This window comes from Homo sapiens, chromosome 21 (genome assembly GCF_000001405.40).
Source record: "Homo sapiens chromosome 21, GRCh38.p14 Primary Assembly".
NCBI lineage: Eukaryota > Metazoa > Chordata > Mammalia > Primates > Hominidae > Homo > Homo sapiens.
Window position 1 is genome coordinate 36129774 of NC_000021.9, and position 27241 is coordinate 36157014.

Genomic DNA, 27241 nt, shown 5'->3' on the forward strand with positions numbered 1-27241 from the left:
CCTGGTCAACATGGTGAAACCCCATCTCTACTAAAAATACAAAAATTAGCTGGGCTTGGTGGCGGGTGCATCCCAGTTACTCAGGAGGCTGAGGCACAAGAATCGCTTAAATCCAGGAGGTGGAGGCTGCAGTGAACTGAGATGGCACCACTACATTCCAGCCTCAGTGATAGAGCAAGACTCTGTCTCAAAAAATAAATAAATAAGAATAAAAATAAAAATAGGCGGCCGGGCTGGAGGGCCCTGCCAGGGGTGGGGGTGGGGGTGGGTGCGGGGAGCCCCGCGGCGGGGGCGGGCGCGGAGTCACGGGGGTGGGGTCACTCGCGGTGGCTCGGGGAGGCCAGCTGGGAGGGGAGGGGGCCGTGGGGGCGGCTCGGCTGAACCAGCCCCGGCTGGGCAGCAGCGGGGACGCCGGGGGCCGGGGCCAGGGCTTTCCGGGCTTAGGTGAGGCCGCCGTGGGCCCCATCTTCCGGCGGTCGCCGGAGTTTGTGGTGATTGTTGCTGCCGCCGCCACCCCCCCGGCTGCCATCTCCTCCTCCTGGGCCGCCGCCTCCTCCTCTTCCTCCTCCTCCTGGGCCGGGCTGATCCCCTCCCCGCTGCCGCCTCCTCCTGGGCTGGGCCCGCGGTGTCTCGTCCCCTCGCGGAGCCGCTCCTGCCGCCGCCGCCGCCGCCTCCTCATTCATCCTCGTGCACCATAGGCGGCACAGGCACCAAGATGTCCAACCGAGTGGTCTGCCGAGAAGCCAGTCACGCCGGGAGCTGGTACACAGCCTCAGGACCGCAGCTGAATGCACAGCTAGAAGGTTGGCTTTCACAAGTACAGTCTACAAAAAGACCTGCTAGAGCCATTATTGCCCCCCATGCAGGATATACGTACTGTGGGTCTTGTGCTGCCCATGCTTATAAACAAGTGGATCCGTCTATTACCCGGAGAATTTTCATCCTTGGGCCTTCTCATCATGTGCCCCTCTCTCGATGTGCACTTTCCAGTGTGGATATATATAGGACACCCCTGTATGACCTTCGTATTGACCAAAAGATTTACGGAGAACTATGGAAGACAGGAATGTTTGAACGCATGTCTCTGCAGACAGATGAAGATGAACGCAGTATTGAAATGCATTTGCCTTATACAGCTAAAGCCATGGAAAGCCATAAGGATGAGTTTACCATTATTCCTTTACTGGTTGGAGCTCTGAGTCAAAAGAACAGGAATTCGGAACTTTTCAGTAAATATCTAGCGGATCCTAGTAATCTCTTTGTGGTTTCTTCTGATTTCTGCCATTGGGGTCAAAGGTTCCGTCACAGTTACTATGATGAATCCCAGGGGGAGATTTGTAGATCCATTGAACATCTAGATAAAATGGGTATGAGTATTATAGAACAATTAGACCCTGTATCTTTTAGCAATTACTTGAAGAAATACCATAATACTATATGTGGAAGACATCCCATTGGGGTGTTATTAAATGCTATCACAGAGCTCCAGAAGAATGGAATGAATATGAGTTTTTCGTTTTTGAATTATGCCCAGTCGAGCCAGTGTAGAAACTGGCAAGACAGTTCAGTGAGTTATGCAGCTGGAGCACTCACGGTCCACTGAAGCTCTGAATCCTCAGGGATGCCACCTGCACATTCTCATACTCTGTCCGGGCTCCCAGCCTAGCCTTTACCACGATACTGGTCCTGGTTTGGGGGGATTCTGAAACCTCAAACTAATAGAACTTTCTTCTCTTTTTTTCTAGTAGGTGTAGTCCTTCCTTAATTTCAACTCATTAAAAAATGCTTTATAGTTTAGGGCAGTGGAAGGAAGGCTGGCATCAAAATATTTTGATCAAAAAAGATGACAATGTAAAGGCTCAGTTATGGCAGACAGTTTTTTGAAAGTAACTTGTAAAGCATTTACCATATCCTAAATTTGCACTCTTTGCAGACTTGTGCACATATATTCCGCTTTCAGAATAGTTTTGCAAATTGTACACAAACAAACAAAAAGGTGGAAGCTTTTTAATAAAGAAATTGCATTTATAAATGATCTGTATTAGAATATAATAAATCTCCAGTTATAGTCAATTACTACCCATGTTGTACAACAGATACCTTCTATTTTAGTTGCTAATAAAGGGCTACACAACTCAAAATAAATAAATAAATAAATAATTTAAAAAATAAATAAAAATAAACTGAATGAAATTGAAAACATATCAATGTGAGATGCCACTAAAGTCATACTAAAAGGGAATTTACACCACTTACTGCCTACATTAGAAAAGAAGTCTCAAATCAATGCAAATCAATGACTTCTGCCTTTACAGTAAGAAACCAGAAAAAGAGCAAATAAAATCCAGTAAGCAGAAGAAAGGAAACAAAGATCAGAACAGAAATTAATATAATCAGGAAAAGAGAGAGAGAGAGAATCATTGTAACCAGAAGTTTGAGGAAAATCAAATCAATTGGTAAACCTCTAGCCAGACAGATCAGAAAAAAACACGAAAGACACAAACCAGTCTCAGAAATGACAGGTAGCATCATTACCAACATTAAAAGGATAAGGGCATGTTAAAAGGATAAGGGTATCAATAGAATCAACACCTTAGATGAAATATATAAAAAATTTGAGCTCTTTCTCAGTGACCAGGGCCTGTGCTTAGGCATAGACGGGCAAGTGGAGCCAACATGCCAGCGGCCCAGAGCTGGGTTTGTTGCCAAACTTATGTGACCCTGCAGAGACCCTTCGAGAAACCTCATCTCGACCAAAAGCTAAAGCTGATTGGTGAGTATGGGCTCCAGAACAAATGTGAGGTCTGGAGGGTCAAATTTACCCTGGTCAAGATCCATAAGGCCGCCCGGGAGCTGCTGACGCTTGATGAGAAGGACCCACGGCGTCTGTTCGAAGGCATTGCCCTGCTGCAGTGGCTGGTCCGCACTGGGGTGCTGGATGAGGGCAAGATGAAGCTGGATTACATCCTGGGCCTGAAGATCAATGATTTCTTAGAGATTCCTACAGACCCAGGTCTTCAAGCTTGGCTTGGCTAAGTCCATCCGCCACGCTCATGTGCTGATTCAACAGTGTCATATCCGTGTCCGTGAGCAGGTGGTAAATATCCTGTTCTTCACTGTCCGCCTGGATTCCCAGAAGCACATTGACTTCTCCCTCTGCTTCCCTATTGGGGTGGCCAACCCCAGCCACGTGAAGAGGAAGAATGCCAGCAAGGGCCAGGGTGGGGCTGGAGCCAGAGATGACGAGGAGGAGGAATAAGCCTGCTTGTCCCCTCCTGGGCTGGTGGATTGTCTAGTTTTCCTGCCAAATGATAAAACAGGATCAATGCTTTATTTAAAAAAATAAAATTATGAAAAACAGAAATTAAGGTCACTCAAGAAGAACTAGGCCAGGCACGGTGACACAAGCCTGTAATACCAGCACTTTGAGAGGCCAAGGAGGGAGAATCGATGTAGCCCAGGAGTTCAACCAGTCTGAGCAACACAGTGAGACTCCCATCTCTAAAAACAAATAAAAATAAAATAAAATAAAAAATTATCCAGGCAGGCCGGGTGTGGTGGCTCACGCCTGTAATCCCAGCACTTTGGGAGGCCAAGGCGGGTGGATCACGAGGTCAGGAGTTCGAGACCAGCCTGGCCAACATGGTGAAACCCTGTATCTACTAAAAATACAAAAATTAGCTGGGTGTAGTGGCAGCGCCTGTAATCCCAGCTACTCAGGAGCCTGAGGCAGGAGAATCGTTGGAACCCAGGATTCGGAGGTTGCAGTGAGCCAAGATCGTGCCACTGCACTCCAGCCTGGGTGACAGAGCAAAACTCCGTCTCAAAAAAAAAAAAAAAAAAAAAATTATCCAGGCATGACTGTGGCACACTTGTAGTCCCAGCTACTAGGGAGGCTAAAGGGGAGGATCACCTGAGCTCAGGAGACTGACGCTACAGTGAGCCACGACTGCAGCACTGCACTCCAGCCTGGGCGACAGAGAAGACCCTATTAAAAAAAAAAAAAAAAAAAAAAAAAACAGAAATAGAAAGCCTAAATAGCCCCATATCCTTAAAACAAGGTTCCAAATGATCTTTTTTTTTTTTTTTGAAAAGTCTCACTCTGTTGCACAGGTTGGAGTGCAGTGGTGCAATCTCGGTTTACTGCAACCTCCGCCTCCCGGGTTCAAGCAGTTCTCCTGCCTCAGCCTCCTAAGTAGCTGGGATTACAGGCACGTGCCACCACACCCAGGTAATTTTTGTATTTTTAGTAGAGATGGGGGTTTCACCATGTTGGTCAGGCTGGTCTTGAACTCCTGACCGCGTAATCCACCCGCCTCAGCCTCCCAAAGTGCTGGGATTACAGGTGTGAGCCACCGCGCCCGGACCAAATGATCTTTAGGAGAAAAAAGAAGGAAATACTGGGGGAGGCACAGTAGGAGATCACAGCAGGGGCCCACCTCCGGAACCTCAAGTAAGGACTTGAGAGAGAAGGTAGAGTCAGAGTAACAGAGACACAGGCGGGTTAGCCAGCTCTGCATGGAAAAGGCTGAGTCGTGATGATGTCATGGTTCTCCCCAAATCTCAAAGTCACTGATCAAACAACTCAGTTTACACTGAAGACGATGGATGAGACTCTAATTTTGTGCCCACAGCTTGACACACCTTTGGGAATTTGGTTTAACTTTCTTTGCCGGTACACAGATCTGTGAGAACATATGATCAATCCAGATCTTTATAGATCTATATCCTCCCTGGACAAACCTAAATGCAGACACTTTTAGCACCCGTAGGAGTTAGGTAGGATTAAATAAAAACATTCCCTCCCACTTGGGGGCACATTCACTGGGAATCCCAGAGCGATGTCGCCTGCCCACACCTGCTAAGTGCGCTCACAGGGCATCTAGTTCCCTCTCTTGAGTTCCTTTTAAGCAAGCAAGGCAACCTATGTCCAGAGAAGCAGTTACTGTGTCTAAGTAAGTCACTGCATCTTAGGAAAAAGCAAACATTCGCATTTTGCAGTGCATGATGGGCGCACACCCAAGAAAATTACTCAGCACTTGTTTTTCTCACTTTGGGGTTTTCCCAAAATAATTTCTTCAGTCCAGTTGCCAAGAATCTGGAGCCCCCGACTGACCCATCAAGGTCCGATTTGGCTTCGGACACCTCGCAGATCACCCCGCGGCTCAGAGCCCGGATCCTGAAGGGCGCAGCGTGGGCAGGGGGCGGGCCCGGGAGTTGGAACAGAGGGCACAGACGGCCCCTCCTCGGAGGGGAGGGACCGGAGCCGGGGCCTTTTTCTTTAAGACTCGCAGCACTGGATCCCAGAACTTAGTCTGCGCGGCGGCATTGACACTAGCTGGGCTCCTCGGGGCGCGCCCCAGGTGGTCCGAAGCCCGGTCCGCCCTCCACGCAGGTGCCCCGCGCTCCCCGCTCAGCCATGTCGTCCTGCAGCCGCGTGGCGCTGGTGACCGGGGCCAACAGGGGCATCGGCTTGGCCATCGCGCGCGAACTGTGCCGACAGTTCTCTGGGGATGTGGTGCTCACCGCGCGGGACGTGGCGCGGGGCCAGGCGGCCGTGCAGCAGCTGCAGGCGGAGGGCCTGAGCCCGCGCTTCCACCAACTGGACATCGACGACTTGCAGAGCATCCGCGCCCTGCGCGACTTCCTGCGCAAGGAGTACGGGGGGCTCAACGTACTGGTCAACAACGCGGCCGTCGCCTTCAAGAGTAGGTGCAGGGCTTGGGTTGGGGCCCCCTGGAGCGCTCCGAGGGTGCGGAGGTGGCCAGCCGCAGGCTCCCCACCCGTCCACTTGAGTGACCGAGGAGGGTGGCGCCGACCCCTAGGGATGCGCTCAGCCCACGCCTCCCGCGAGGCGGTTTTCGCTTTCCGTGATTCGCTGAGCCCCAGGCGGGCCCGGGCGACAAACAGCGCGCCCCGCCCGCCGGCCTGTGAGGGCCTGTGCGCGGCCCGGGGCCCTCCCCGAACTGTCAGCCGCTGTTGTGTGCAGGAAAACTGGCCTCCTGGGAGGGGGCAACGCCCTGCTAGAGTTCATCAGCTTTCCTTCCAACGCGAGAAACATTTTCTCTGCAAAGAAACGGTCTCCGCTCGCTTTGGGCTTTCGCTTTCCTTGAAAGGGCGCATTCATAGATGCCCGGAGGCATTTGCTCGGGAAAGGAAATGAATCGCTAAAACAGGATTAGCGCGCGCTTGCCCTTGGTGGACTTGACAATTTGTGTAATGCAGAGCTTTGATAGGCTCTGGCAAAAAGGAAGCGAGCCTTCTCGTTCCCCCACCCCCGCCCGGGGAGCTTATGTTTGTTATAAAATACGTGCGTGTGGTCTTAAAAGCATCTTCCTTAAGGAGAGGGGCGGGGATCAAGAGATTGCTTATTCTAACTACTACTGAAGAAAATTACAGGAGGGCGCAGTGGCTCACGCCTGTAATGCCAGCACTTTGGGAGGCCGAGGCAGGAGAAACGCTTGAACCTGGGAGGCAGTGAGCCGAGATCGCGCCACTGCACTCCAGACTGGGAGACAGAGCGAGACTCCGTATGAAAAAAAAAAAAAAGTTACTACGGAGAAATAAACAGGCCGGCTTCACCTCCAACCTAGTGGGGAAAAAAAGCCTAAGAGGGAGTGAAATGAAGGATGGGGGAGCAGAAGTCTCCACCCCTCCCTTTGGCCCTAGGCACTCCGCATTGTTGTGCATGGGGACCTGAGACTTTCTTTGACCCGCACGGGCAACTCAGCCTGCCGGCTTTCTGAGAGCTGGGGTGCAGGAGTGGGGATTAACACCCCCTAATGCAGCCCTCAGCCATGGGCTGAGAGATTGGTGGATAAATACCCGGCTTCCTGGACGACAGGCGGAGGGACTTCCCCTTGCCTTTCAAGGTATGGGGAATGGACCACCAGCAGCTGCAAACCTGGGCGCTCATGGCAAGGCAGAATCTCCCGCCTTGCCCCACACCTGCTGAATCAAAATCTGCGTTTCCGCTGGGCGCGGTGGCTCATGCCTGTAATCCCAGCACTTTGGGAGGCTGAGGCAGGCAGATAACCTGAGGTCAGGAGTTCAAGACCAGCCCGGGAAACATGGTGAAACACCAACTCTACTAAAAATACAAAAATTAGCTGGGCATGGTGGCTCACTCCTGTAATCCCAGCTACTCGGGAGGCTCAGGCACAAGAACCGCTTGAACCCAGGAGGCAGAGGTTGCAGGAAGAGGAGATTGCACCCCTGCACTGCAGCCTGGGCGACAGAGCGAGACTCTGCCTCAAAAAAAAAAAAAAAAAAAAAAAAAAATCTGCATTTCAACAGAATCCCCAGCTCCCTCCTACGCACCTTTAAGTTTAAGAAGTGGTAGTCAAAGCCAAGTGTTCTCAAGGTGTGGCTGGAGACCAGTAGCTGTCACATCATCTGGGAACCTAGAAATGCAAACTCAGGCCAGGTGCGATGGCTCACGCCTGTAATCCCAGCACTTTGGGAAGCCGAGGCGGGTGGATCACATGAGGTCAGGAGTTGGGGACCAGCCTGGCCAACATGGCGAAACCCTGTCTCTGCAAAAAGTAAAAAAATTAGCTGGGTGTGGTGGCATGTGCCTGTAATCCCAGCTACTCCAGAGGCTGAGGCAGGAGAATCACTTGAACCCAGGAGGTGGAGGTTGCAGTGAGCCGAGATCGCGCCACTGCACTCCAGCCTGGGTGACAGAGGAAGAAAAGAAAGAGAAAGAAAGAAAGAAAAGAAAAGAAAGAAAGGAAGGAAGGAAGGAAGGAAGGAAGGAAGGAAGGAAGGAAGGAAGGAAGGAAGGAAAGAAAATGCAAATTCTGGAGCCCTTACTCCAGCCCTTTGCAATCAGAAACTCCAATGGTGAGGCCCAGGAAGCTGTGTTTTAACAGGCTCTACAAGTGATTCGGATGCAGACTAAAGTTTGAGAATCACCGACCTCGTTCTTAAAAATTGTTTTAAAATTAACTTGTTTTTCCTTTAGTTGTTAGGAGTTAGGATCCACTTTGTCATGTGAGTTTCAGGGGGAAAAATATGACTTTCTTTTTGTTTCTTTCTCTTTTTGAAAGGTGATGATCCAATGCCCTTTGACATTAAAGCTGAGATGACACTGAAGACAAATTTTTTTGCCACTAGAAACATGTGCAACGAGTTACTGCCGATAATGAAACCTCATGGTAAGCCCAACGTGTGGACAGTCGGGTTGCATCCCTCAGTAAGAAGTGGGCTACAGGCTTCCCGGAGCAGGGCTACCCTGCAGAAATCACTCAGGGGTGCTATTTCTCTGAAGGGGGAAAAATAGAAAATTGCTTCATTTTCCCACAGTGTTTGGCTTCTCACTCCAACATTTTAGTTTAGTTTAGTTTAGTTTAGTTTAGTTTTGTTTTGTTTGGCAGTGGGGTGGGTGGTGGGAAGAAATTTTGCTCTTGTTGTGCAGGCTGTAGTGCAATGGTGTGATCTTGGCTCACTGCAACCTCCACCTCCCGGGGTCAAGCAATTCTCCTGCCTCAGCCTCCCGAGTAGCTGAGATTACAGGCACCCACTACCACACCCGGCTAATTTTTTATATTTTTAGTAGAGACGTGGTTTCACCATGTTGGCCAGGCTAGTCCTGAACTCCTGACCTTCAGGTGATCCACCCACCTTGGCCTCCCAAAGTGTTAGAATTACAGGCGTGAGCCACTATGCCCAGCCTTAGCTTTAAGTTCCAAAGATAAGTGTGACATATCACAATGCTTTTGGGATCCATGTCATGAACTCAATCCTAGAATGATAGAATGCTGTGAGTCCCCAAAGGCCGCTTGCCTCTGGTCAATCTCATGAGTCCTCCAGCCCTCCAAGGTGATGGGCCCACATCTAGCTCATCTCTGGACCTTGGTATCTGTTTTAGCATTACAACTTTTCCTATATTCCTTTCTTCTTATACCATACTTTCTCAAGTTGATTCAGAAAACCCAAAAGAAATTTTCTTTTCTTTTTTTTTCTTTTCTTTTTTTTTTTTTTTTTTTGAGACAGAGTCTCGCTCTGTCATCCAGGCTAGAGTACAGTGGCACAATTTCGGCTCACTGTAGTCTCCGCCTCCCAGGTTCAAGCGATTCTCCTGTCTCAGCCTCTGGAGTAGCTGGGATTACAGGTGTGCACCACCACGCCCAGCTCATTTTGTATTTTTAGTACAGATGGGATTTCACTATGTTGGCCAGGCTGGTCTCAAACTCCTGACCTCAAGTGATCCACCCACCTCTGCCTCCCAAAATGCTGGGATTACAGGTGTGAGCCACCATGCCCGAACGAGAAATTTTCTTTATTAGGAAATGTCTTGCCTATACCTGCAGGTATTCAATAAATGTTACTATTATACTTTTCCTACAAACATTGGAGTGCCTGCCATATTCCAGGCATTATGCTGGGATCTGGGTGTGCAATGGTGAGCATTATAGACAGGGACCATCTCATTGGTGGAGCTGAAACTCTAGTGGGGGAGATATCCATTAGCAAAGAATCTGAAGTGTGAAATGACAGCTGTGCTGGGGTACAGGGAAGCTTGCTTCCTTGAGGATTTTATTCCCCAAGAAGTTAACTGTGGATTCTTAGAACTGTGGTTTTTATTAAAAATGTGCTTGCTTTTTCTTTTTTTTTTTTTTTTTTTGACAGAGTTTCGCTCTGTTGCCCAGGCTGGAGTGCAGTGACAGGATCTCAGCTCACTGCAACCTCCACCTTCTGGGTTCAAGGGATTCTCCTGCCTTAGCCTCCTGAGTAGCTGGGACTACAGGCGTGTGCCGCTACGCCCGGCTAATTTTTATATTTTTAGTAGAGACAGGGCTTTGCCATGTTGGCCAGGCTGGTCTCGAACTCCTGACCTCAAGTGATTCATCTGCCTCAGCCTCCCAAAGTGCTGGGATTACAGGTGTGAGCTACTGCACCTGGCCAGAAGTGTGCTTTTCTTAATTTAACATTTCGAATATGGATTATTGGCCGGGTGTGGTGGCTCATGCCTGTAATCTCAGCACTTTGGGAGGTTGAGGCAGGAGGATCACTTGAGCCCACGAGTTTAAGACCAGGCTGAAAAATATGGCAAGACCCTCATCACTTTAAACAAACAAACAAAATTATCTCTGGATGCAAAACCTTTTTTTTTTTTTTTTTTTTTTCTGAGACAGAGTCTCCCTCCGTCGCCCAGACTGGAGTGCAGTGGCATGAGCTCAGCTCGCTGCAACCTCCGCCTCTCAGGTACGAGAGATTCTCCGCCCCAGCCTCTCAAGTAGCTGGGTTTACAGGCGAGCACCACCACGCCCAGCTAATTTTTTTGTATTTCTAGTAGAGACAGGGTTTCACCATGTTGGCCAGCTTGATCTCGAATTCCTGACCTCAGGTGATCCACCCGCCTTGGCCTCCCAAAATGCTAGGATTACAGGCTTGAGCCACCGCACTCAGACGCAAAAAGTTCTTAACCTAAGAAGGTGAATGGTGAGAGTTGCACTTGTACTCTGTCAGTTTCTGAGTGGGATGAGATCATAGAAAGCCTGCAGGGAGAACTGCAGGTGCTTTGAAGGGGATGGAGTTTCTAAATGCAAATCTGAGCCAATATAAACGCACATTTTAAAAACTCTCCTTTTTACACAGAAGGTAACATTTCATACAATGTTTGCCACTTTGCTTTTTTTACTCCTTATGTCTGGGGCTCTCTCCAGGTTTGGTCAGAAAGCTTTTATCTTTTTTGTGGCTATATAGGGACGCAGCCATTATAGGGATGTCTTTTACCCAGTGTTGGGAAGTTTTCTCCCGATAAATTTTTGAATGGGAACTTGAGAGCTGCAAGGTATTAAGACACCTTTAAAACTCCATCCCCTTCCAGAGCACCTGCAGTTCTCCCTGCAGGCTTTCTCTGATCCCATCCCACTAAAAAACTGAGCAAGTACAAGAGTACAAGTGCAATTCTCACCATTCACCTTTTTAGGTTAAGAAGTTTTTGTGGCCGGGCACAGTGGCTCACACCTGTAATCCTAGCACTTTGGGAGGCCAAGGCAGGCAGACCACGAGGTCAGGAGATCGAGACCATCCTGGCTAACACGGTGAAACCCCATCTCTACTAAAAATACAAAAAAATTAGCCAGGCATGGTGGTGGGCACCTGTAGTCCCAGCTAGTCGGGAGGCTGAGGCAGGAGAATGGCATGAACCCGGGAGGCGGAACTTGCAGTGAGCCCAGATCGCGCCACTGCACTCCAGCCTGGGCGACAGAGCCACACTCCATCTCAAAAAAAAAAAAAAAAAAAGAAAGAAAGAAAGAAAAGAAAATATCATAAGAATGGACTTAATCCTGAGCAACATATGGAGACCCCAGCTCTACACAAAAAATGAAAATTAAAAATTAGCTGGGCATAGTGGCATGTTCCAGCTTCTCGAGAGACTGAGGTGGGAGGATCGCTTGGGCCCAGGAGGTTGAGGCTGCAGTGAGCTATGATTGTGCCACTGTACTCTAGCCTGGGCGACAGAGCAAGTCCTTGTCTCAAAAAAAAAAAAAAATGCATTTAACGCATCTGACCTACCAAACACCATAGGTCAGCCTCGTCTAGCTTCAAGGTGCTTTGAACGCTTACATTAGCCTATAGTCTGGCAAAGTCATCTAACACAAAGCCTATTTTATCATAAAATGTTGAGTATCTTATGTAATTTATTGAATCTGTACTGAAAGTGAAATGCAGAATGGTTGTATGGGGCCTCCAAGTACAGATTCTGCAGAATGCATATCGCTTCCTCATCCATCAGTGAAGTCAGTAAGTCCTAAGTGGAACCATCAGAGGGCAGGGACCATCTATCTGTATTTGACTTGCTTATTTGTTCAAGGTTCTGAGTCAATAGGACAAGCAACTACTAAGCCACTAGAGGGCGCAACTTGCCTACTCTTTCTAGAGTAAGGCAGCAGGTGTTTCGGGACCGGTGGGGCCACCTGGACCTCAGTGGAGGGTGGTGTGGGTGCAGCCCTTCCCAGGGCTGATGACGCATCTGGCTGACGAGGCTGACTGTCAGCCTCTGGCCTCTCTCCCAGAGGTGTGCCCTCAGATCAAAGAGGACACCTCCTCCCCTTAAGAGGATTTATTTCCTCGAAGGCACAGCTTCTATGATCTGTGTTTTTCTTTCTTCCTTTCCCATTCACATTTAATTCCTTGTAGCCGCCAAGTTTCTGAGAACAAAGCTGTTTAGAAAGCAATGAAGAACACAACATCACTGATGTAGTATTCCTGGCCAAAATATTGATGTGACTCTCCTCATGAGAACAGACCAATTCACTTTGAGAGAAATACTACAAAATAATGGTCTACAGTCTTCAAAAAAGTCATTGCCAACTACCTTACATTAAAATATATGAAAGAGATGTGACAATTAAATGCAATCCATGGGCCAGGTGCGGTGACTCACGCCTGTAATCCCAGCACTTTGGGAGACCAAGGCGGGCGGATCATGAGGTCAGGAGATTGAGACTATCCTCGCTAACACGGTGAAACCCCGTCTCTACTAAAAATACAAGAAATTAGCCAGGCATGGTGGCAGGCGCCTGTAGTCCCAGCTACTTGGGAGACTGAGGCAGGAGAATGGCATGAACCCGGGAGGTGGAGCTTGCAGTGAGCCGAGATCACGCCACTGCACTCCAGCCTAGGTGACAGAGCGAGACTCCATCTCAAAAAAAAAAAAAAAAACGCAATCCATGATCCTACTTTGGACCCTGGATTAAAGCAAACAAAAACTGTAAAAGAACATTACTGGGACAATTTGGACACATTTGAATATGGGCTGTATTTTAGATAATAGTGTTGTATAATGATAAATGCCTGGCATGTGGTCATAACTGTAGTAATGTAGGGGAATGCCCTTGCTACCATATATAATACTAAAGTGTTTAAGATGAAGGTTTATGATATCAGCAACTTGGAGAGAAAAAGGGACAGAGAGGGAAAAAGCAAACACAGCAAAATGTTAACAATTAGTGAACTTAGGTGATGGGCATAGGGTATTTATCGAACTATTCTTGTAACTTCTCTGTAACAGGAAAGAAATACATACATACACTTCATCTTTGAAAGTGAGAGAGAGAAGGAAGGAAAGAAATACTGAATAGTACTAGGTACCTGGGGGGATGAGTGAGGTGCTAGTTTCCAAGGACAGAGTGAGGGTATCTCTTGTGGGATTGGGGTCCACAAGAATGTGCAGCTCCCTTGCAATGGGAACTTGTGGGGAATGCCATTCAGAAAATGAAATAAAATCTACAGATCCGGCCAGGTGCGGTGGCTCATGCGTGCAACCCCAGCACTTTGGGAGGCCGAGGAAGGCAGAGCACCTGAGGTCAGGAGTTTGAGACCAGCCTGGCCAACATGGTGAAACCCCATCTCTCCTAAAAATACAAAAATTAGCTGGGCATGGTGGCGCACACCTGTAATCCCAGCTACTTGGGAGGCTGAGGCAGGAGAATCACTTAAACCCGAGATAGAGGTTGCAGTGAGCTGAGATCGCGCCACTGCACTCCAGCCTGGACAACAGAGCAAGACTCATCTCAAAGAAAAAAAAAAAGACCCTATTGGACACAGAGAATATGCATTCAGAATAATACATAATAAAAGAACTCACTAAAATTAGTGGGGTTTGATGCTGATGAAATGTGTAAATTAACACATTTACTGGTTTTTGGATTTCCACCAGTACTTCAAATTGTAAAATTTTTGGCCTACATATTTGTTTCTATGGGCACAATTGTCTCTTTAGTAGCTGTGAATCATGATCAACATGAATATTAATTCATAATTTAATGAATATTAATATTATCAAATAGGGACTAAAAAGTAATGAAATCAGGCCGGATGCAGTGGCTCACGCCTATAATCCTAGCACTTTGGGAGGCCAAGGCAGGCAGATCTCCTGAGCTCAGGAGTTTGCGACCAGCCCGGCCAACATGGAGAAACCCCGTTTCTACGAAAAATACAAAAATTATTTGAGTGCAGTGGTGTGTGCCTGTGGGCCCAGTTATTTGTGGGGCTGAGACAGGAGGATCACTTGAGTCTGGGAAGTGGAGGCTACAGTGAGCCGAGATCATGCCACTGCACTCCAGCTTGGCTGGCAGAGTGAGATTCTGTCTCAAAAAAAAAAAAAAAAAAAAAGTGATGAGATAAAAACCAGGATGGAAAAACAGCCCATTCCACACGTGAAGTGTCCATAATGAAGGACAGACAGAGTCATCCCCAGGGATTCCTTACTGCTGGTTGTGGCACTAAGGAATTGGGGTGGCTGCCCACTGTCCTAGGACATTGGGTGTGCCTAGGAAATTGAGAGCTTTAGTCCTTAGGGTGAGAGCACTGTCCCTCAGAAAGCAGGTTTATAAGTACTTGGAGTGTGTATGCTGGGGAGGAGCAGTTTTATAAAACTGCCAGCGGGCTGGGCACACGGTGGCTCACACCTGTAATCCTAGCACTTTGGGAGGCCAAAGCGGGCGGATCTCTTGAGGTCAGGAGTTCAAGCCCAGTATGGCCAACATGGTGAAACCTCATCTCTACTAAAAAAATACAAAAATTAGCTGGGCATGGTGGCACACACCTTCATCCCAGCTACTTGGGAGGCTGAAGCAGTAGAATCACTTGATCCTGGGAGGCGGAGGTTGCAGTGAGCCGAGATTGTGCCACTGCACTGCAGCCTAGGCAACAAAACAAGACTGTCTCACAAAACAAAATAAAAAATTTTTAGGCCGGGTGTAGTGGCTCACGCCTGTAATTCCAGCACTTTGGGAGGCTGAAGCAGTAGAATCACTTGATCCTGGGAGGCGGAGGTTGCAGTGAGCCGAGATTGTGCCACTGCACTGCAGCCTAGGCAACAAAACAAGACTCTGTCTCACAAAACAAAATAAAAAAATTTTAGGCCAGGTGTAGTGGCTCACGCCTGTAATTCCAGCACTTTGGGAGGCTGAAGCAGTAGAATCACTTGATCCTGGGAGGCGGAGGTTGCAGTGAGCCGAGATTGTGCCACTGCACTGCAGCCTAGGCAACAAAACAAGACTCTGTCTCACAAAACAAAATAAAAAAATTTTAGGCCAGGTGTAGTGGCTCACGCCTGTAATTCCAGCACTTTGGGAGGCCGAGGTGGGCAGATCACTTCAGGTCAGGAGTTCAATACCAGCCTGGCCAACATGGCAAAACCCCATCTCTACTAAAATTACAAAAATTAGCTGGGCGTGGTGGTGGGCACCTGTAGTCCCAGCTACTTGGGAGGCTGAGGCAGGAGAATTGCTTGAACCCGGAAGTCGGAGGTTGCAGTGAGCCAAGATTGTGCCACTGCACTCCAGCCTGCGTGATAGAGCAAGACTGCGTCTTAAAAAATAAATAAATAAATTTAAGTAAAAGTAAAAATAAAACTGCCTGGGGAATCTACAAATTTACTACCTCACCCATCTCTCAGCGAATCCCTGAGAAAGGGAGCCCCCCCTGTCACTGATGGAGGTGTGTTCTTCCCCTTGGGAGAATAGGGCCAAAAAAATTAAATCCCATGGGTGCATAGATTTTATGCCTTCTATAGTCACATTTTTAATCTTTTTTTAAATTTGATTATTACTTTTTGAGAAAGGGTCTCATTCGTGTCACCCAGGCTGGAGTGTAGTGGAGTGTAGTGGTGTGATCATGGCTCACTGCAATCTCTACTTCCTGGATTCAGGTGATCCTCTTACCTCAGCTTCCTGAGTAGCTGAGACCACAGGCACACGCCACCACACCCAGCTAATTTTTCTATTGTTAGTAGAGACAGAGTTTTGCCACGTTGCCCAGGCTGGTCTTGAACTCCTGGGTTCAAGTGATCCACTCCTCTCAGCCTCCCAAAGTGCTGGGATTACAGATATAAGCCACAGCATCCAGCCACTTTTTTGTTTTTAATCAGCAATTAAACCTACACAATGGCCAGGTGCGGTGGCTCACACCTGTAATCTCAGCATTTTGGGAAGCTGAGGCAGGAAGATCACTTGATGTCAGGAGTTCAAGACCAGCCTGGCCAACATGGTGAGACCCTGTCTCTACTAAAAATACAAAAATTAGCCAGAATATGGTGGCTCACGCCTGTAATTCCAGCTACTCAGGAGGCTGAGGCAGGAGAATTGCTTGAACCTGGGAGGTGGAGTTTGCAGTGGGCCGAGATGGCACCAGTGCACTCTAGCCTGGGCAACAGGGCGAGACTCTGTCTCAAAAAAAAAAAAAAAAAAAAACCTGCACCAAGACTCAATCATATGTTTGGTATATTATTCAACCAGTGGTTGTACCTCTGTGATATGCTTTCATATATTTATCATTCTGTTTCAGGGAGAGTGGTGAATATCAGTAGTTTGCAGTGTTTAAGGGCTTTTGAAAACTGCAGTGAAGATCTGCAGGAAAGGTTCCACAGTGAGACACTCACAGAAGGAGACCTGGTGGATCTCATGAAAAAGTTTGTGGAGGACACAAAAAATGAGGTGCATGAGAGGGAAGGCTGGCCCAACTCACCTTATGGGGTGTCCAAGTTGGGGGTCACGGTCTTATCGAGGATCCTGGCCAGGCGTCTGGATGAGAAGAGGAAAGCTGACAGGATTCTGGTGAATGCGTGCTGCCCAGGACCAGTGAAGACAGACATGGATGGGAAAGACAGCATCAGGACTGTGGAGGAGGGGGCTGAGACCCCTGTCTACTTGGCCCTCTTGCCTCCAGATGCCACTGAGCCACAAGGCCAGTTGGTCCATGACAAAGTTGTGCAAAACTGGTAAACGTCTGCTTCGGAGCTTGCTGCTTAATAAATGTTGGTGGAATGAATGAATGAATTGATGCTGTGGTTTGATTATTTCTGTTCTTTTTTTTTTTGAGACGGAGTCTCGCTCTTGTTGCCCAGGCTGGAGTGCAGTGGCATGATCTCAGCTCACTGCAACCTCTGCCACCTGGGTTCAAGCTGTTCTCCTGCCTCAGCCTCCTGAGTAGCTGGGATTACCAGGCATCTGCCATCATGCCTGGCTAATTTTTGTAATTTTAGTAGAGACGGTATTTCACCATGTTGGCCAGGCTGGTCTCGAACTCCTGACCTCAGGTGATCTGCCCAACTTGGCCTCCCAAAGTTCTGGGATTTCAGGCATGAGCCACTGCACCCGGCCTTTTTTTCTCTTTCTTTTCTCTCTCTCTCTCTCTTTTTTTTTTTTTTGAGATGGAGTTTCGCTCTTGTTGCCCAGGCTGGAGTGCAATGGCATGATCTTGGCTCACCGCAACCTCCGCCTCCCAGGTTTGAATGATTCTCCTGCCTCAGCCTCCTGAGCAGCTGGGATTACAGGCATGTGCCACCACACCTGGCTAATTTTGTATTTTTAGTAGAGATGGGGTTTCTCTATGTTGGTCAGGCTGGTCTCGAACTCCTGACCTCAGGTGATCCACCCGCCTCAGCCTCCCAAAGTGCTGGGATTACAGGCATGAGCCACCACGCCTGGCCTCTTTCTGTTCTTGAAAAGGAATGTTCATAAGAATCTCCCTGGGAGAAACGTGTCTAGTTCTGGAATCTGGAGCTGAACAACATTGCTATGCCCAACTCTTCAGCCTGAGAGGGAGAAGAACATAGTCTCAAATTTTAGTGGGCATCGGGACCACCTGGAGGGCTGATTAAGCCAGATTGCCGGTTCCACTCCCCACACCAATTCACTTCATTTCTAACAAGTTCTCAGGTGGTGCTGACACTGCTGGTGCTGGGACTGCACTTAGAACCACTGGTGTAGCAAGTGGTTTCAGAACTATGGAGCCATTTTCTAGCTGTTCCTTGCTGTTTCCAGTTTTTTGATTCTGTAAGGGTGATGCTTTATCCTCTATTTCCTTAGCTCTGCAAGCTTTCTTTGCATCTCATTCTGTTTTGAGTATATTTTTATTGGTTGTTTTACTTTTTTTTTGCTTGAGACAGAATCTCACTCTGTCGCCCAGGCTAGAGTGCAGTGGCACAATCTCAGCTCACTGCAACCTCTGCCTCCTGGGTTCAAGCAATTCTTCTGCCTCAGCCTCCCAAATAGCTGGGACTACAGGCGCCCACCACCATGCCCAGCTAATATTTTGTATTTTTAGTAGAGATGGGGTTTCACCATGTTGGCCAGGCTGGTCTCAAACTCCTGGCCTCAAGTGATCCGCCCACCCCAGCCTCACAAAGTGCTGGGATTACAAGCATGAGCCACCACACCCGGCTGGTTCTTATACTTACAAAGTAGCAGAGCTTGAAGGACTCAGGAGGAATATCTTCTTTAACTGGGACATGATTTCTTCTAGATTTTTCAGCTGGGTTTTGCATTCTGCATTCCTTCCCAGAATGTTTACGAGGTTGCCCAGCCACCGCAACTGTATCTCTTTACTGAAACTCATGCAGATGTCTTCTCCTTAACCTATGCACACTCCCTGTGAACTACAGCCCAGGGTGATTCTTCAGTAACTCCCTAAGCCTTTTTTTTTTTTTTTAATTTGAGACAGTGTCTTGCTTTGTTGCCCAGGCTAGAGTGCAGTGGCACGATCATGGGTTACTGCAGCCTCGACCTCCAGGGCAAGAGACTTCCATGACTAAAACCTCAAGTGATCCTCCCACCTCAGCCTCCTAAGTAGCTGGGACTACAGGCATGTGCCATCATGCCCAAATAATTTAATTTTTGGTAGAGACAGGGTCTCACTATGTTTCCCAGGTTGGTCTAGCACTCCTGAACTAAAGTGATCCTCGCTCCTTTGCCTCTCAAAACGCTGGGATTCCAGACATGAGCCACCGCACCCACCCTCTTTCATAATTTTTTTTTTTTTTTCAGACAGAGTCTTGCTCGGTCGCCTGGCTGGAGTGCAGTGGTGCCGTCTTGGCTCACTGCAGCCTCCACCTCCCAGGTTCAAGCAATTCTCCTGCCTCAGCCTCCTGAGTAGAGTGGCTGGGATTACAGGCGTGCACCACCATGCCTGGCTAATTTTTGTATTTTTAGTGGAGATGGGGTTTCGCCATGTAGGCCAGGCTGGTCTTGAACTCCTGACCTCAGGTGATCTGCCTGCCTTGGCCTTGCAAAGTGCTGGGATTACAGGAGTGAGCCAAAGCCTCTTTTATAATCATTATGACAATAGGTGAGTTCACATTCTCTGCTTTCAAATGGGATTGGTTTTGCAACAGGCCTCCTGGCTTCTGGTTACACCTTGTAGAAAAAAGTCTTGGAGAGCAAGGAGTCTTCTGAAATAGAAGAAATGTACTCGCAAAGGCTTGCAAGAGTGTCAAGGCTTCGGCAAGAAGGCTAATCACACAAAAAAATTCAGTGGAATTTACATTCCGGCTGGCCACAGTGGCTCAAGTCTCTGATCCCAGCACTTTGGGAGGCTGAGGCAGGAGGATCACCTGAGGTCAGGTGTTTGAAACCAGCCTGGGCAACACAGCAGGCCTCCATGTCTGCAAACAAATCAAACAAAACTTAGCCAGACATGGTGGCACACACCTGTAGTCCTAGCTACTTGGTAGGCTAAGGTGGAAGGATCAGTTGAACCCAGGAGTTCAAGGCTGCAGTGAGCTATGGTCGTGCCACTGCACTGCAGCATTCTGGGTGACACAGCCAGACCCTGTCTCTACTTAAAAAGAAAACGAATCCATTGAAAGATGGAAAAAAACCAAAGGGAAATAACTACAAATTTGCCAAGGTTACCAAGTTTATGATAGGCTGCTCACTGTGTGAAATTAGAAATGTTGTCACTTGATTATCAAACCCACAAATGTCACATCATATCCCCTGACATAGGTAAGCACTGCAGTCATAAGAGATAATGCCGTTTTTCCTTAGGGAATCAGTAAAGTATGGGAATGCTCAAGTTTCTTTTATTTGGGGGAACTGAACTGCACAGGATGACCTGGTTATTTCTGGTTCATCACAGTATGTAGCTATTTGTTTTTCTTAACTCTCTGATTTACAATGGCAGCACCTCAAAGTGTCAGTTTAACTCTCACAGCCTGCACCCACTTTTTCATCCACTTGGGGTAGGGGGAAGTCTGAATCCCACCTAGACTGCATTTAACATCTTGAGGCCAGATGGAGTGGCTCATGCCTATAATCCCAGCATTTTGGGAGGCCAAGGCAGGCGGGTTGCTTGAGCCCAGAAGTTTGAGACCAGCCTGGACAACATAGCGAGACCCCTCTCTACAAAAATTCAAAAAGATCAGGCAGACGAGGTGCACACCTGTAGTCCCAGCTACTCAGAGGCTGAGGTTGGGAGGATCACTTCAACCTGGGAGGTCAAGGCTGCAGTGAGCCATGATTGCGCCACTGCACTTCAGCCTGAGTGACAGGACAAGACCCTGTCTCAAAAAAAAGCCTAAAACAACAACAAAAACTTCCTTTAGCCTATTTGTATGTCACTGATTAAATCCAACATGCTCTTATGGTATTCATCTCAGGCTACAGCTCCTAAGACATTTTAATGTCTCCTTTCCTGGCTCTAAAAACAATTTAATGGCTTTCAATCAGCTTCCCGAGTATCTTTTGTACTCTCGCCTCCCTCTGCAGCCAAACTCCAGTCCTGCTAATGCCGGGCAATAGCCCAGGAACCACAGAGCACTTCAGGCTCTGCCTGACAAAGTTACAGACAGGAAGTTCAGAAGAAATGAGCCAGTCCCTTTTATTTCTTCTTCCTCTTTTGTCTCTAACCAATCCTTTTTGGATAAGTGTGTAACCCACTTCCTCTTTTGTCTCTAGCCAATCCTTTTAGGATAAGCATGTAGCTCATTTGGATGACCCTTAACTGTCAACTGCTGGTCAGAATGACATTTCTCATTCTTAGAGAAGGGCTGCCATTAGCCCTTATTGGATGGTCTGCCCAGCACCCTCTTCCAAAATATGATCTCCTGCCCTCCCCTGCCCCCTGCTTCCTTCCCATGTTTGCAGCTGCAGCTGCCACAAGGTGACCTTGCCTCTGTTGACTGCTCCAGCTATAGGTTTTTCCTCTAAAAAGAACCAGCTGGATTGGATCAGAGTTGTTACTGTGCATCTCACCCCCTGTGCCTGAGGAGCAGAGGGAGCCAGCCATTGCCAGAGAAAGAGGCCAACCATCAAGAGGAGCATTTAAGCCAGGTGTGGTGGCTCCTGCCAGCACAATCCCAGCACTTTGGGAGATCAAGGCAGGTGGATGGCTTGCGCTCATGAGTTTGAGAACAGCCTGGGTAACATGGTGATACCCTGTCTCTACAGAATAATACAAAAATTAGCCAGGTGTGGCAGTACATGCCTGTAGTCCCAGCTACTTGGGGAGCTGGGGCAGGAGGATTGCTTGAGCCTGGGAGGTGTTTACAGTGAGCCGTGTTTGTATCAGTACACTCCAGCCTGGATGACAAAGCGAGACCCTGTCTTGGGGAAAAAAAAAAAAAAAAAGAAAAGAAAAGAAGTGGCCCAAAGAGAAACTCCCTTCCCTGTCCTCAGATCATTCCTGAAATCTTGAATTCTCAGAGATGCTCCAAGATACCCTTGTATCCTTAAAATATATTTTCTTTTTCATAAGCTATATTGAATTGGGTAGTTGTTGCTTGCAATCAAAAGGAACCTAACTAATAGAAGTGCATTAACATGTTTTATAGTATTGTGAAAGGAAAATAAATCTTGGGGCCCCAAAATCACTAAGCTAAAGGGAAGAGTTAAGCTGGGAACTGCTTAGGGCAAACTTGCCTTCCATTCTATTCAAAGTCACCACTCTGCTCACTGAGATAAATGCATATCTGATTGCCTCATTTGGAGAGGCTCATCAGAAACTCAAAAGAATGCAACCATTTTTCTCTTACCTACCTATGACCTGGAAGTCCCCTCCAGGCTTCCAGCTGTCCTGCCTTCACCTGGAGCTGTCCCACCTTTCTGGATTGGCCCAATGTACATCTTACACATATTGATTGATGTCTCATGTCTCCCTAAAATGTATAAAACCAAGCTGTGCCCTGACCACCTTGGGCAGAAGTTCTCAGAACCTCCTGAGGCTGTGTCATGGTTGCCCATCCTCAACCTTGGCAAAATAAACTTTCTAAATTAACTGAGACCTGCCTCCGATGTTGGGGGTTCACCCTATGCTGTAGGAAAAAAAACAATTGGGCTTGGAATCAAAAGGAGAAAAAAATCATGAATTGAGAACCTATGGCAAATTAGACCATATGTCCTGCTTAATGCTTTCCCAACATGGTTTTAGGTAATTCTGACTATAGTCCTTTGCCTTAGTTCATTTTGTGTTACTATAATGGAATATCACAAACTAGGTAATTTATAAAGAAAGTAAATTTGCCTGTGCACAGTAGCTCATGCCAATAATCCTATAACTTTGGGAAGCCAAAGTGGGAGCATCACTTAAGGCCAGGAGTTCAATGCCAGCCTGGGCAACATAGAGAAACCCTATCTCTACAAAAAATAAAAATTGACCAAGTGTGATCATGCTCACCTTTAGTTCTACCTACTTGGTAAGTTGAGGTGGGAGTATCACTTGTGCCCAGGAGTTTATGGCTGCAGTGAGCTATGATCATGCCACTTCACTCCAGCCTAAGCAACAGAGACTCTGTCACTTGTCTCAAAAAAAAAAAAAAAAAAAAAGTAAGTTTATTTCTCACAATTCTGGAGGCTGGGAAGTCCAAAAGCATGGCACTAGCATCTGGCAAGGGCCTGCTTGTGTGTTCTACCATGGCAGAAGGCAGAAGGGCAAGAGAATGCTCACAAGGTGCAAACTAAACTCATCCTTCTATCAGGAATCCACTCCCCTGATAAAGGTATTAATCCATTTATGAGGGCAGAGTCTTCACTCATGATCTTAAAGGTTCCACTTTGCAACACTGTTGCCTTGGGGATTATGTTTCTAACACATGACTTTAGGGGACACATTGAAACCACTGTATCCTTTAAGGTAGGAATCAATGTCATATTTGTCATATTTCGAACGAAGAAATAAAGGTTTGGAGAGGTTAATTAACTTGCCCAAGATCTCAGAGCTAAAGCCAGGATCATATCTAGGACTGACTACAAAGTCCTGTGGTCTCCAGTGCTTGGCAGGTCCAGCTTCACTGATGAGTCTAGAGAGTAGTAACTCTCTTGGTGTAAGAACTAAGGGAGATGATACATTAAATCTAAGTGTAAATTAGATTATGCTTAAAGTATAAGTCATATGGTTATTATTAATAGATCCCCAAGTTAGCCTATATGTGAACTTTTCCATAGAGAAATGAAGCATGGTTTCAATGCAGCATATTTTAAATGGATTATCTCATACAATGTGTTTTTTGTTTGTTTTATATTGTTTTTGTTGTTTTCTGAGACAGAGTCTTACTCTGTTGCCCAGGATGGAGTGCAGTGACATGATCTCAGCTCACTGCAACCTCCAACTCCCGGGTTCAAGTGATCCTCCTGCCTCAGCCTCCCAAGTACCTGGGAGTACAGGTGCATGCCATCACACCTGGCTAATACAATGTGTTTTTTTTAGACACCAGAGGGAGCCAGTGGTTCTTTCCACATCAGCTTTTCTGTGAAACATTTTTCTTTTTTTTGAAATGGAGTTTCACTCTTGTTGCCCAGGCTGGAGTGCAGTGGCGCCACCTCAGCTCACCGCAACCTCCCCCTCCTGGGTTCAAGTGATTCTCCTGCCTCAGCCTCCCGAGTAGCTGGGATTACAGGCATGAGCCACCAGGCCCAGCCTTGTGATAGATTTTTCTAGACTGTTGCATGTGTGGTACACCCACATACAATATCAGCTTTAGACTCAACCCTTTGACTTTGCCTTCACCTACTGAACAGCAACAAGGATTGTGACAGACCAAGAATCTGAAGAAGGATGCAGTGTGGAGACGAAACAGGTGTCAATGACAAAGGTTTAGTTGTTATTTCAAGTCAACTGCAAAGTGGATGCGGTATCAAGTATAGAAACTGCACAGGACTTCTCCACTAAGAACATGGGGAGGGCAAAGGGAATGGATGTTTTGAGAAAGGAGGCAGAAGCCAACAGAGAACAGTGGTTATTACCAAGATGGGTGGAGTAGAAGTTAGTTTATAGAAGACATTGGCTTAGGCCTGGTGCGGTGGCTCACGCCTGTAATCCCAGCAATTTGGGAGGCCGAGGCTGGCAGATTACTTGAGGGCAAGAGTTCAAGACCAGCCTGACCAACATGGTGAAACCCCATCTCTACTAAAAATACAAAAAATTAGCTGGGCATGGTGGCGCACAGCTGTAATCCCAGCTACTCAGGAGGCTGAGGCAGAAAAATCGCTTGAACCTGGGAGGCGGAGGTTGTAGTGAGCCAAGATCACACCACTGCACTCCAGCCTGGGCAACAGAGCTAGACTCCATCTCAAAAAAAAAAAAAAAGAAAGAAAAAAGAAGACACTGGCTTAGAGGGTCACCAATATCTGCATATCAAAACTAAGAATGAATTTACTTGGCCAATCTCTCTACTGGGTGATCAGCCTGAGCCAGATAATGCAGTGGGTTCTGATTTATAATGCCTTCTTTACTGTCAAGAGGGGTAAGGATTAAAGTTCCGGTTTAAATTAAAGTTGAAATGCTTTACTTGGTTTGAGTATTATTATGAAAGGACCCTGACCGTTTCTGCATGTCTTAAACTGATGAAAGTAGCTAAGTAGACTTTTAAGTTGTGACAAGACAACTTGATCCAAGAAAACATATTTCTTGTCAGAATATGCAATTTTTTTTTTTTTTTTGAGATGGAGTCTCACTCTGTCACTCAGGCTGGAGTGCAGTGGTGTGATCAAGGCTCACTGCAACCTCTGTCTCCCAGGTTCAAGCAATCCTCCTGTCTCAGCCTCCCCAGTAGCTGGGACTACAGGTGCACACCACTACACCCAGCTAATTTTTGTATTTTTAGTAGAGACAGGGTTTCACTATATTGGTCGGGCTGGTCTCGAACTCCTGACCTCAGGTGATCCACCTGCCTCGGCCTCCCAAAGTGCTGGGATTACAGGCGTGAGCCACTGCGCTCGGCCAGAATACTCAAATCTCAATGTTGTACATTTACTGTCAATCCTGTCAGTATCAGTATATTGTATACAGTATACAGTAATTGACAGTATACTGTCAATTATAAATTGAGTTTTTTAAATTATGATTTACAAATGAATTTGTCAAAATTAAATTAAACCCCCCCACACGCACACACACCTGGAATCCTTTACAGATAGGTGGTATATGAATACAAGGCACAGATTGTATGTGCATGGTGGCTTTGGCACAAACAGACTACTTCTTTTTTCAATGTTAAGTGTAAAGCAGTTCTTTCATCTCTGTTCAGTGCAGTGTTGAGTGTGACTAGGATTTGAAGAACCTAAAAAAAAAAAAAACTCACCTGCTTGCCATCTTCTTGTTTTTTTTTTGTTGTTTTTTGGTTTTTGCTGGTTTTGTTTGCTGCTTTTGTAAAACCAGTTTATCATATTCTCATTAGGAAATCAATTTTCATGAAATTAATTTTTTTTCCTGCTAACTATGGCTCAATCTTTTCGTTTCTCTCTGCTTCTATCTTAAGACCATTCCTCAAATTGACCATGAGAGGATTTACATCTGGGGCACTTGGTATATGCCAAATGGAGACAAAATCAGAATCAGCAGCCTGGCTGGGCCACAGGTCCAGCATCCCAAGCTATTAAAATATTCTTAGTGTTTCCAGGGAAGTGATAGATCCACTTTGGAAGCTGATAATATACCCCTCCCCTAGAAACATGCATATACACAAAGTGTTCTAAACAACTTCCAGGTGCTCATGACCTCCCCCACCTCCCAAGCTCATTGACCACTGCCTCGCCTTCACGAACTCCAGACCTGGTCTGAACATTTCTAAAGGACGCTCGGGAGTTAAAAGGAGCGAGGCCACTGCAGAAATGACAGCCTTCATCCACAAGTGGCCCACTTCGGGTTGGCTGGAGCCACAGCTGGGTGGGGACAGGGCCTGTGCTCAGGTGAGCACTGCCTACCGCGCACCCTCCAGGTGCGTCCTACCCTGAAGCGGTCGGACTGGACCGTCTAGGTCCCAGCGCTCGAGAGGATGGCAGGCAGGGGCTGGTGATTGTCTGGAGATATGAATGCTTTCTAAGGTTGACGTCAAGGTCTCCTTCCTGAGCCACAGTCCACGTGATAAGCTCTGTCCAGGTAGAAATGATCTCACCTCTCCTGTCGCCCAGGGTCGGAAACCTGAGGCCCGTGCGGGCTGGGGCAACTTAGCAGGGGTCCCAAGCCCGCCGCGCCCCCTGCGCCCCAAACGTGTGTGGAGGGCTTGGACGTGGTCCAGAGGGAAAAGATGGGGTGAACCAGGTGCCGCGCACCCTTCGAGGAGCCCCCGCTTCTCCGTTTCTGTGAGTGACTCCAAAGCACCTCCGAGGGCCGACACACGCGCGGACGACCTTGGGCGGGCACTGACCAATGTCCCCTTCCACTCGGTTGTGTCGGGGGTCCCCAGGTGAGGCGCGAACGCCGCCCCGCTCACCTGTACGAGGCCTTTCCCGGAGCAGCCCGGCTACGAAGCGACACCCATGGCGGAGAAGCTAAGGAAGACTCCCGCTCCCTCACACCGCGGCTGAGGCGACTGAACCGCCCCAGTACGCCGGGGCCCTCCCCAAGCCCTGCTCCCAAGCCGAAGCCCCGCCCCCGCGTCTAAGGCCCACCTCCAGGCCCCGCCCCTGACCCCGACTCCGTGAGTCAAGCCTGGCCTTTCAGTCCAGCCCAGCCCGTCGAGGCCCCGCCCCTGTTGTTATGGCCCGCCTCCAGGCACCGCCCTTGATCCCACCTTCATGAGTCAGGCCCCGCCTTCCAGCCTAGCCCGGCCAGCCGAGGCCCCGCCCCTGTAGGGACAGCCCACTTCCAGGCCCCGCCCTTGATCCCGCCTCCTTCGGTCAGGCCCCGTCTTCTAGTTCCGCCCCGCCCGCGGAAACCCCGCCCCCGCGCGCCTATGGCCCACCTCCAGGTCCCGCCCCTGAGCCCGCCTCCAGGCGTCCAGCCCCGCCTTCCAGCCCCGCCCCAAGCGCCGAGGCCCGGCTTCCAGGCTCCGCCCCGACCCGCGCGGTGGGGAAGAGCCGCTGCCGCTGGTTCTCCGGCTCTTCCTCGGCGGTTCTGGCTCCCGGCCGCGCCGCAGCCCTGCCCAGTCTCTCTCCCCCAGCCCGGAGGGCTCCTCCGCGCCGCACGTGAGCGCGCCCGCCAACAGGGCCACTGCCGCGGTAAGTCGTGCCTGCGCCCTGTCCGGCGTCCAGTCCTCAGCCGCTGGGCGAAGCCGGAGGAGCCGGGCATC

The 27241-nt window shown here is 48.3% G+C and overlaps 2 protein-coding genes, 1 long non-coding RNA gene and 2 pseudogenes across 8 annotated transcripts in view, besides 12 other annotated features; 4 read left to right on the top strand and 1 right to left on the bottom strand.

The window, feature by feature from the left end:
* MEMO1P1 (MEMO1 pseudogene 1) lies at positions 699–2143 on the top strand (annotated as a pseudogene).
* CBR3-AS1 (CBR3 antisense RNA 1) lies at positions 1994–26535 on the bottom strand. Of its 3 annotated transcripts, NR_038892.1 has the most exons (4): positions 26444–26535; positions 16483–16582; positions 3914–3988; positions 1994–3301 (listed from the first exon to the last, which is right to left on the bottom strand). It is a non-coding gene; the product is annotated as a CBR3 antisense RNA 1 (long non-coding RNA). The 3 variants fall into 3 exon arrangements; NR_038893.1 differs by lacking the exon at positions 3914–3988; NR_038894.1 differs by lacking the exons at positions 1994–3301; positions 3914–3988 and adding an exon at positions 11623–12173.
* Positions 2621–3333, top strand: RPS9P1 (ribosomal protein S9 pseudogene 1; annotated as a pseudogene).
* Positions 4661–5468: an enhancer, noted in NCBI's record as "H3K27ac-H3K4me1 hESC enhancer chr21:37506732-37507539 (GRCh37/hg19 assembly coordinates)". NCBI's record gives its function as "activates a minimal SCP1, AML or CMV promoter by ChIP-STARR-seq in naive and primed H9 embryonic stem cells {active_cell/tissue: H9 hESC(naive and primed)}" and the evidence as "EXISTENCE:reporter gene assay evidence [ECO:0000049][PMID:30033119]".
* Positions 5291–5360: a silencer, noted in NCBI's record as "silent region_13278". NCBI's record gives its function as "represses an Ori minimal core promoter by ATAC-STARR-seq in GM12878 lymphoblastoid cells {active_cell/tissue: GM12878}" and the evidence as "EXISTENCE:reporter gene assay evidence [ECO:0000049][PMID:35858748]".
* CBR3 (carbonyl reductase 3) lies at positions 5306–16789 on the top strand. 2 transcript variants are annotated; one of them, NM_001236.4, is made up of 3 exons: positions 5306–5708; positions 8052–8159; positions 16303–16789. In NM_001236.4, the coding sequence occupies exons 1-3, from the start codon at positions 5420–5422 to the stop codon at positions 16737–16739; spliced, it is 834 nt and encodes a 277-aa protein (NP_001227.1). In that variant the 5' UTR covers positions 5306–5419; the 3' UTR covers positions 16740–16789. The 2 variants fall into 2 exon arrangements, with proteins under 2 accessions (NP_001227.1, XP_011528074.1); XM_011529772.3 differs by lacking the exon at positions 16303–16789 and adding an exon at positions 12151–12371.
* Positions 5469–6275: an enhancer, noted in NCBI's record as "H3K27ac-H3K4me1 hESC enhancer chr21:37507540-37508346 (GRCh37/hg19 assembly coordinates)". NCBI's record gives its function as "activates a minimal SCP1, AML or CMV promoter by ChIP-STARR-seq in naive and primed H9 embryonic stem cells {active_cell/tissue: H9 hESC(naive and primed)}" and the evidence as "EXISTENCE:reporter gene assay evidence [ECO:0000049][PMID:30033119]".
* Positions 5469–6280: a biological region, named in NCBI's record as "H3K27ac-H3K4me1 hESC enhancer GRCh37_chr21:37507540-37508346".
* Positions 5791–5960: a silencer, noted in NCBI's record as "silent region_13279". NCBI's record gives its function as "represses an Ori minimal core promoter by ATAC-STARR-seq in GM12878 lymphoblastoid cells {active_cell/tissue: GM12878}" and the evidence as "EXISTENCE:reporter gene assay evidence [ECO:0000049][PMID:35858748]".
* Positions 6111–6280: an enhancer, noted in NCBI's record as "active region_18428". NCBI's record gives its function as "activates an Ori minimal core promoter by ATAC-STARR-seq in GM12878 lymphoblastoid cells {active_cell/tissue: GM12878}" and the evidence as "EXISTENCE:reporter gene assay evidence [ECO:0000049][PMID:35858748]".
* Positions 25577–26244: an enhancer, noted in NCBI's record as "H3K27ac-H3K4me1 hESC enhancer chr21:37527648-37528315 (GRCh37/hg19 assembly coordinates)". NCBI's record gives its function as "activates a minimal SCP1, AML or CMV promoter by ChIP-STARR-seq in naive and primed H9 embryonic stem cells {active_cell/tissue: H9 hESC(naive and primed)}" and the evidence as "EXISTENCE:reporter gene assay evidence [ECO:0000049][PMID:30033119]".
* Positions 26245–26911: an enhancer, noted in NCBI's record as "H3K27ac-H3K4me1 hESC enhancer chr21:37528316-37528982 (GRCh37/hg19 assembly coordinates)". NCBI's record gives its function as "activates a minimal SCP1, AML or CMV promoter by ChIP-STARR-seq in naive and primed H9 embryonic stem cells {active_cell/tissue: H9 hESC(naive and primed)}" and the evidence as "EXISTENCE:reporter gene assay evidence [ECO:0000049][PMID:30033119]".
* Positions 26245–27215: a biological region, named in NCBI's record as "H3K27ac-H3K4me1 hESC enhancer GRCh37_chr21:37528316-37528982".
* Positions 26296–26345: an enhancer, noted in NCBI's record as "active region_18429". NCBI's record gives its function as "activates an Ori minimal core promoter by ATAC-STARR-seq in GM12878 lymphoblastoid cells {active_cell/tissue: GM12878}" and the evidence as "EXISTENCE:reporter gene assay evidence [ECO:0000049][PMID:35858748]".
* Positions 26426–26485: an enhancer, noted in NCBI's record as "active region_18430". NCBI's record gives its function as "activates an Ori minimal core promoter by ATAC-STARR-seq in GM12878 lymphoblastoid cells {active_cell/tissue: GM12878}" and the evidence as "EXISTENCE:reporter gene assay evidence [ECO:0000049][PMID:35858748]".
* Positions 26666–27215: a silencer, noted in NCBI's record as "silent region_13280". NCBI's record gives its function as "represses an Ori minimal core promoter by ATAC-STARR-seq in GM12878 lymphoblastoid cells {active_cell/tissue: GM12878}" and the evidence as "EXISTENCE:reporter gene assay evidence [ECO:0000049][PMID:35858748]".
* DOP1B (DOP1 leucine zipper like protein B) overlaps positions 27051–27241 on the top strand; it is a 137451-nt gene continuing 137260 nt past the window's right edge. For all 3 annotated transcript variants that reach the window (XR_937581.4, XR_007067795.1, NM_001320714.2), the window contains exon 1: positions 27051–27170. The gene's annotated coding sequence lies outside the window, so the exon portion shown is untranslated. The remainder of the gene's footprint in view (positions 27171–27241) is intronic.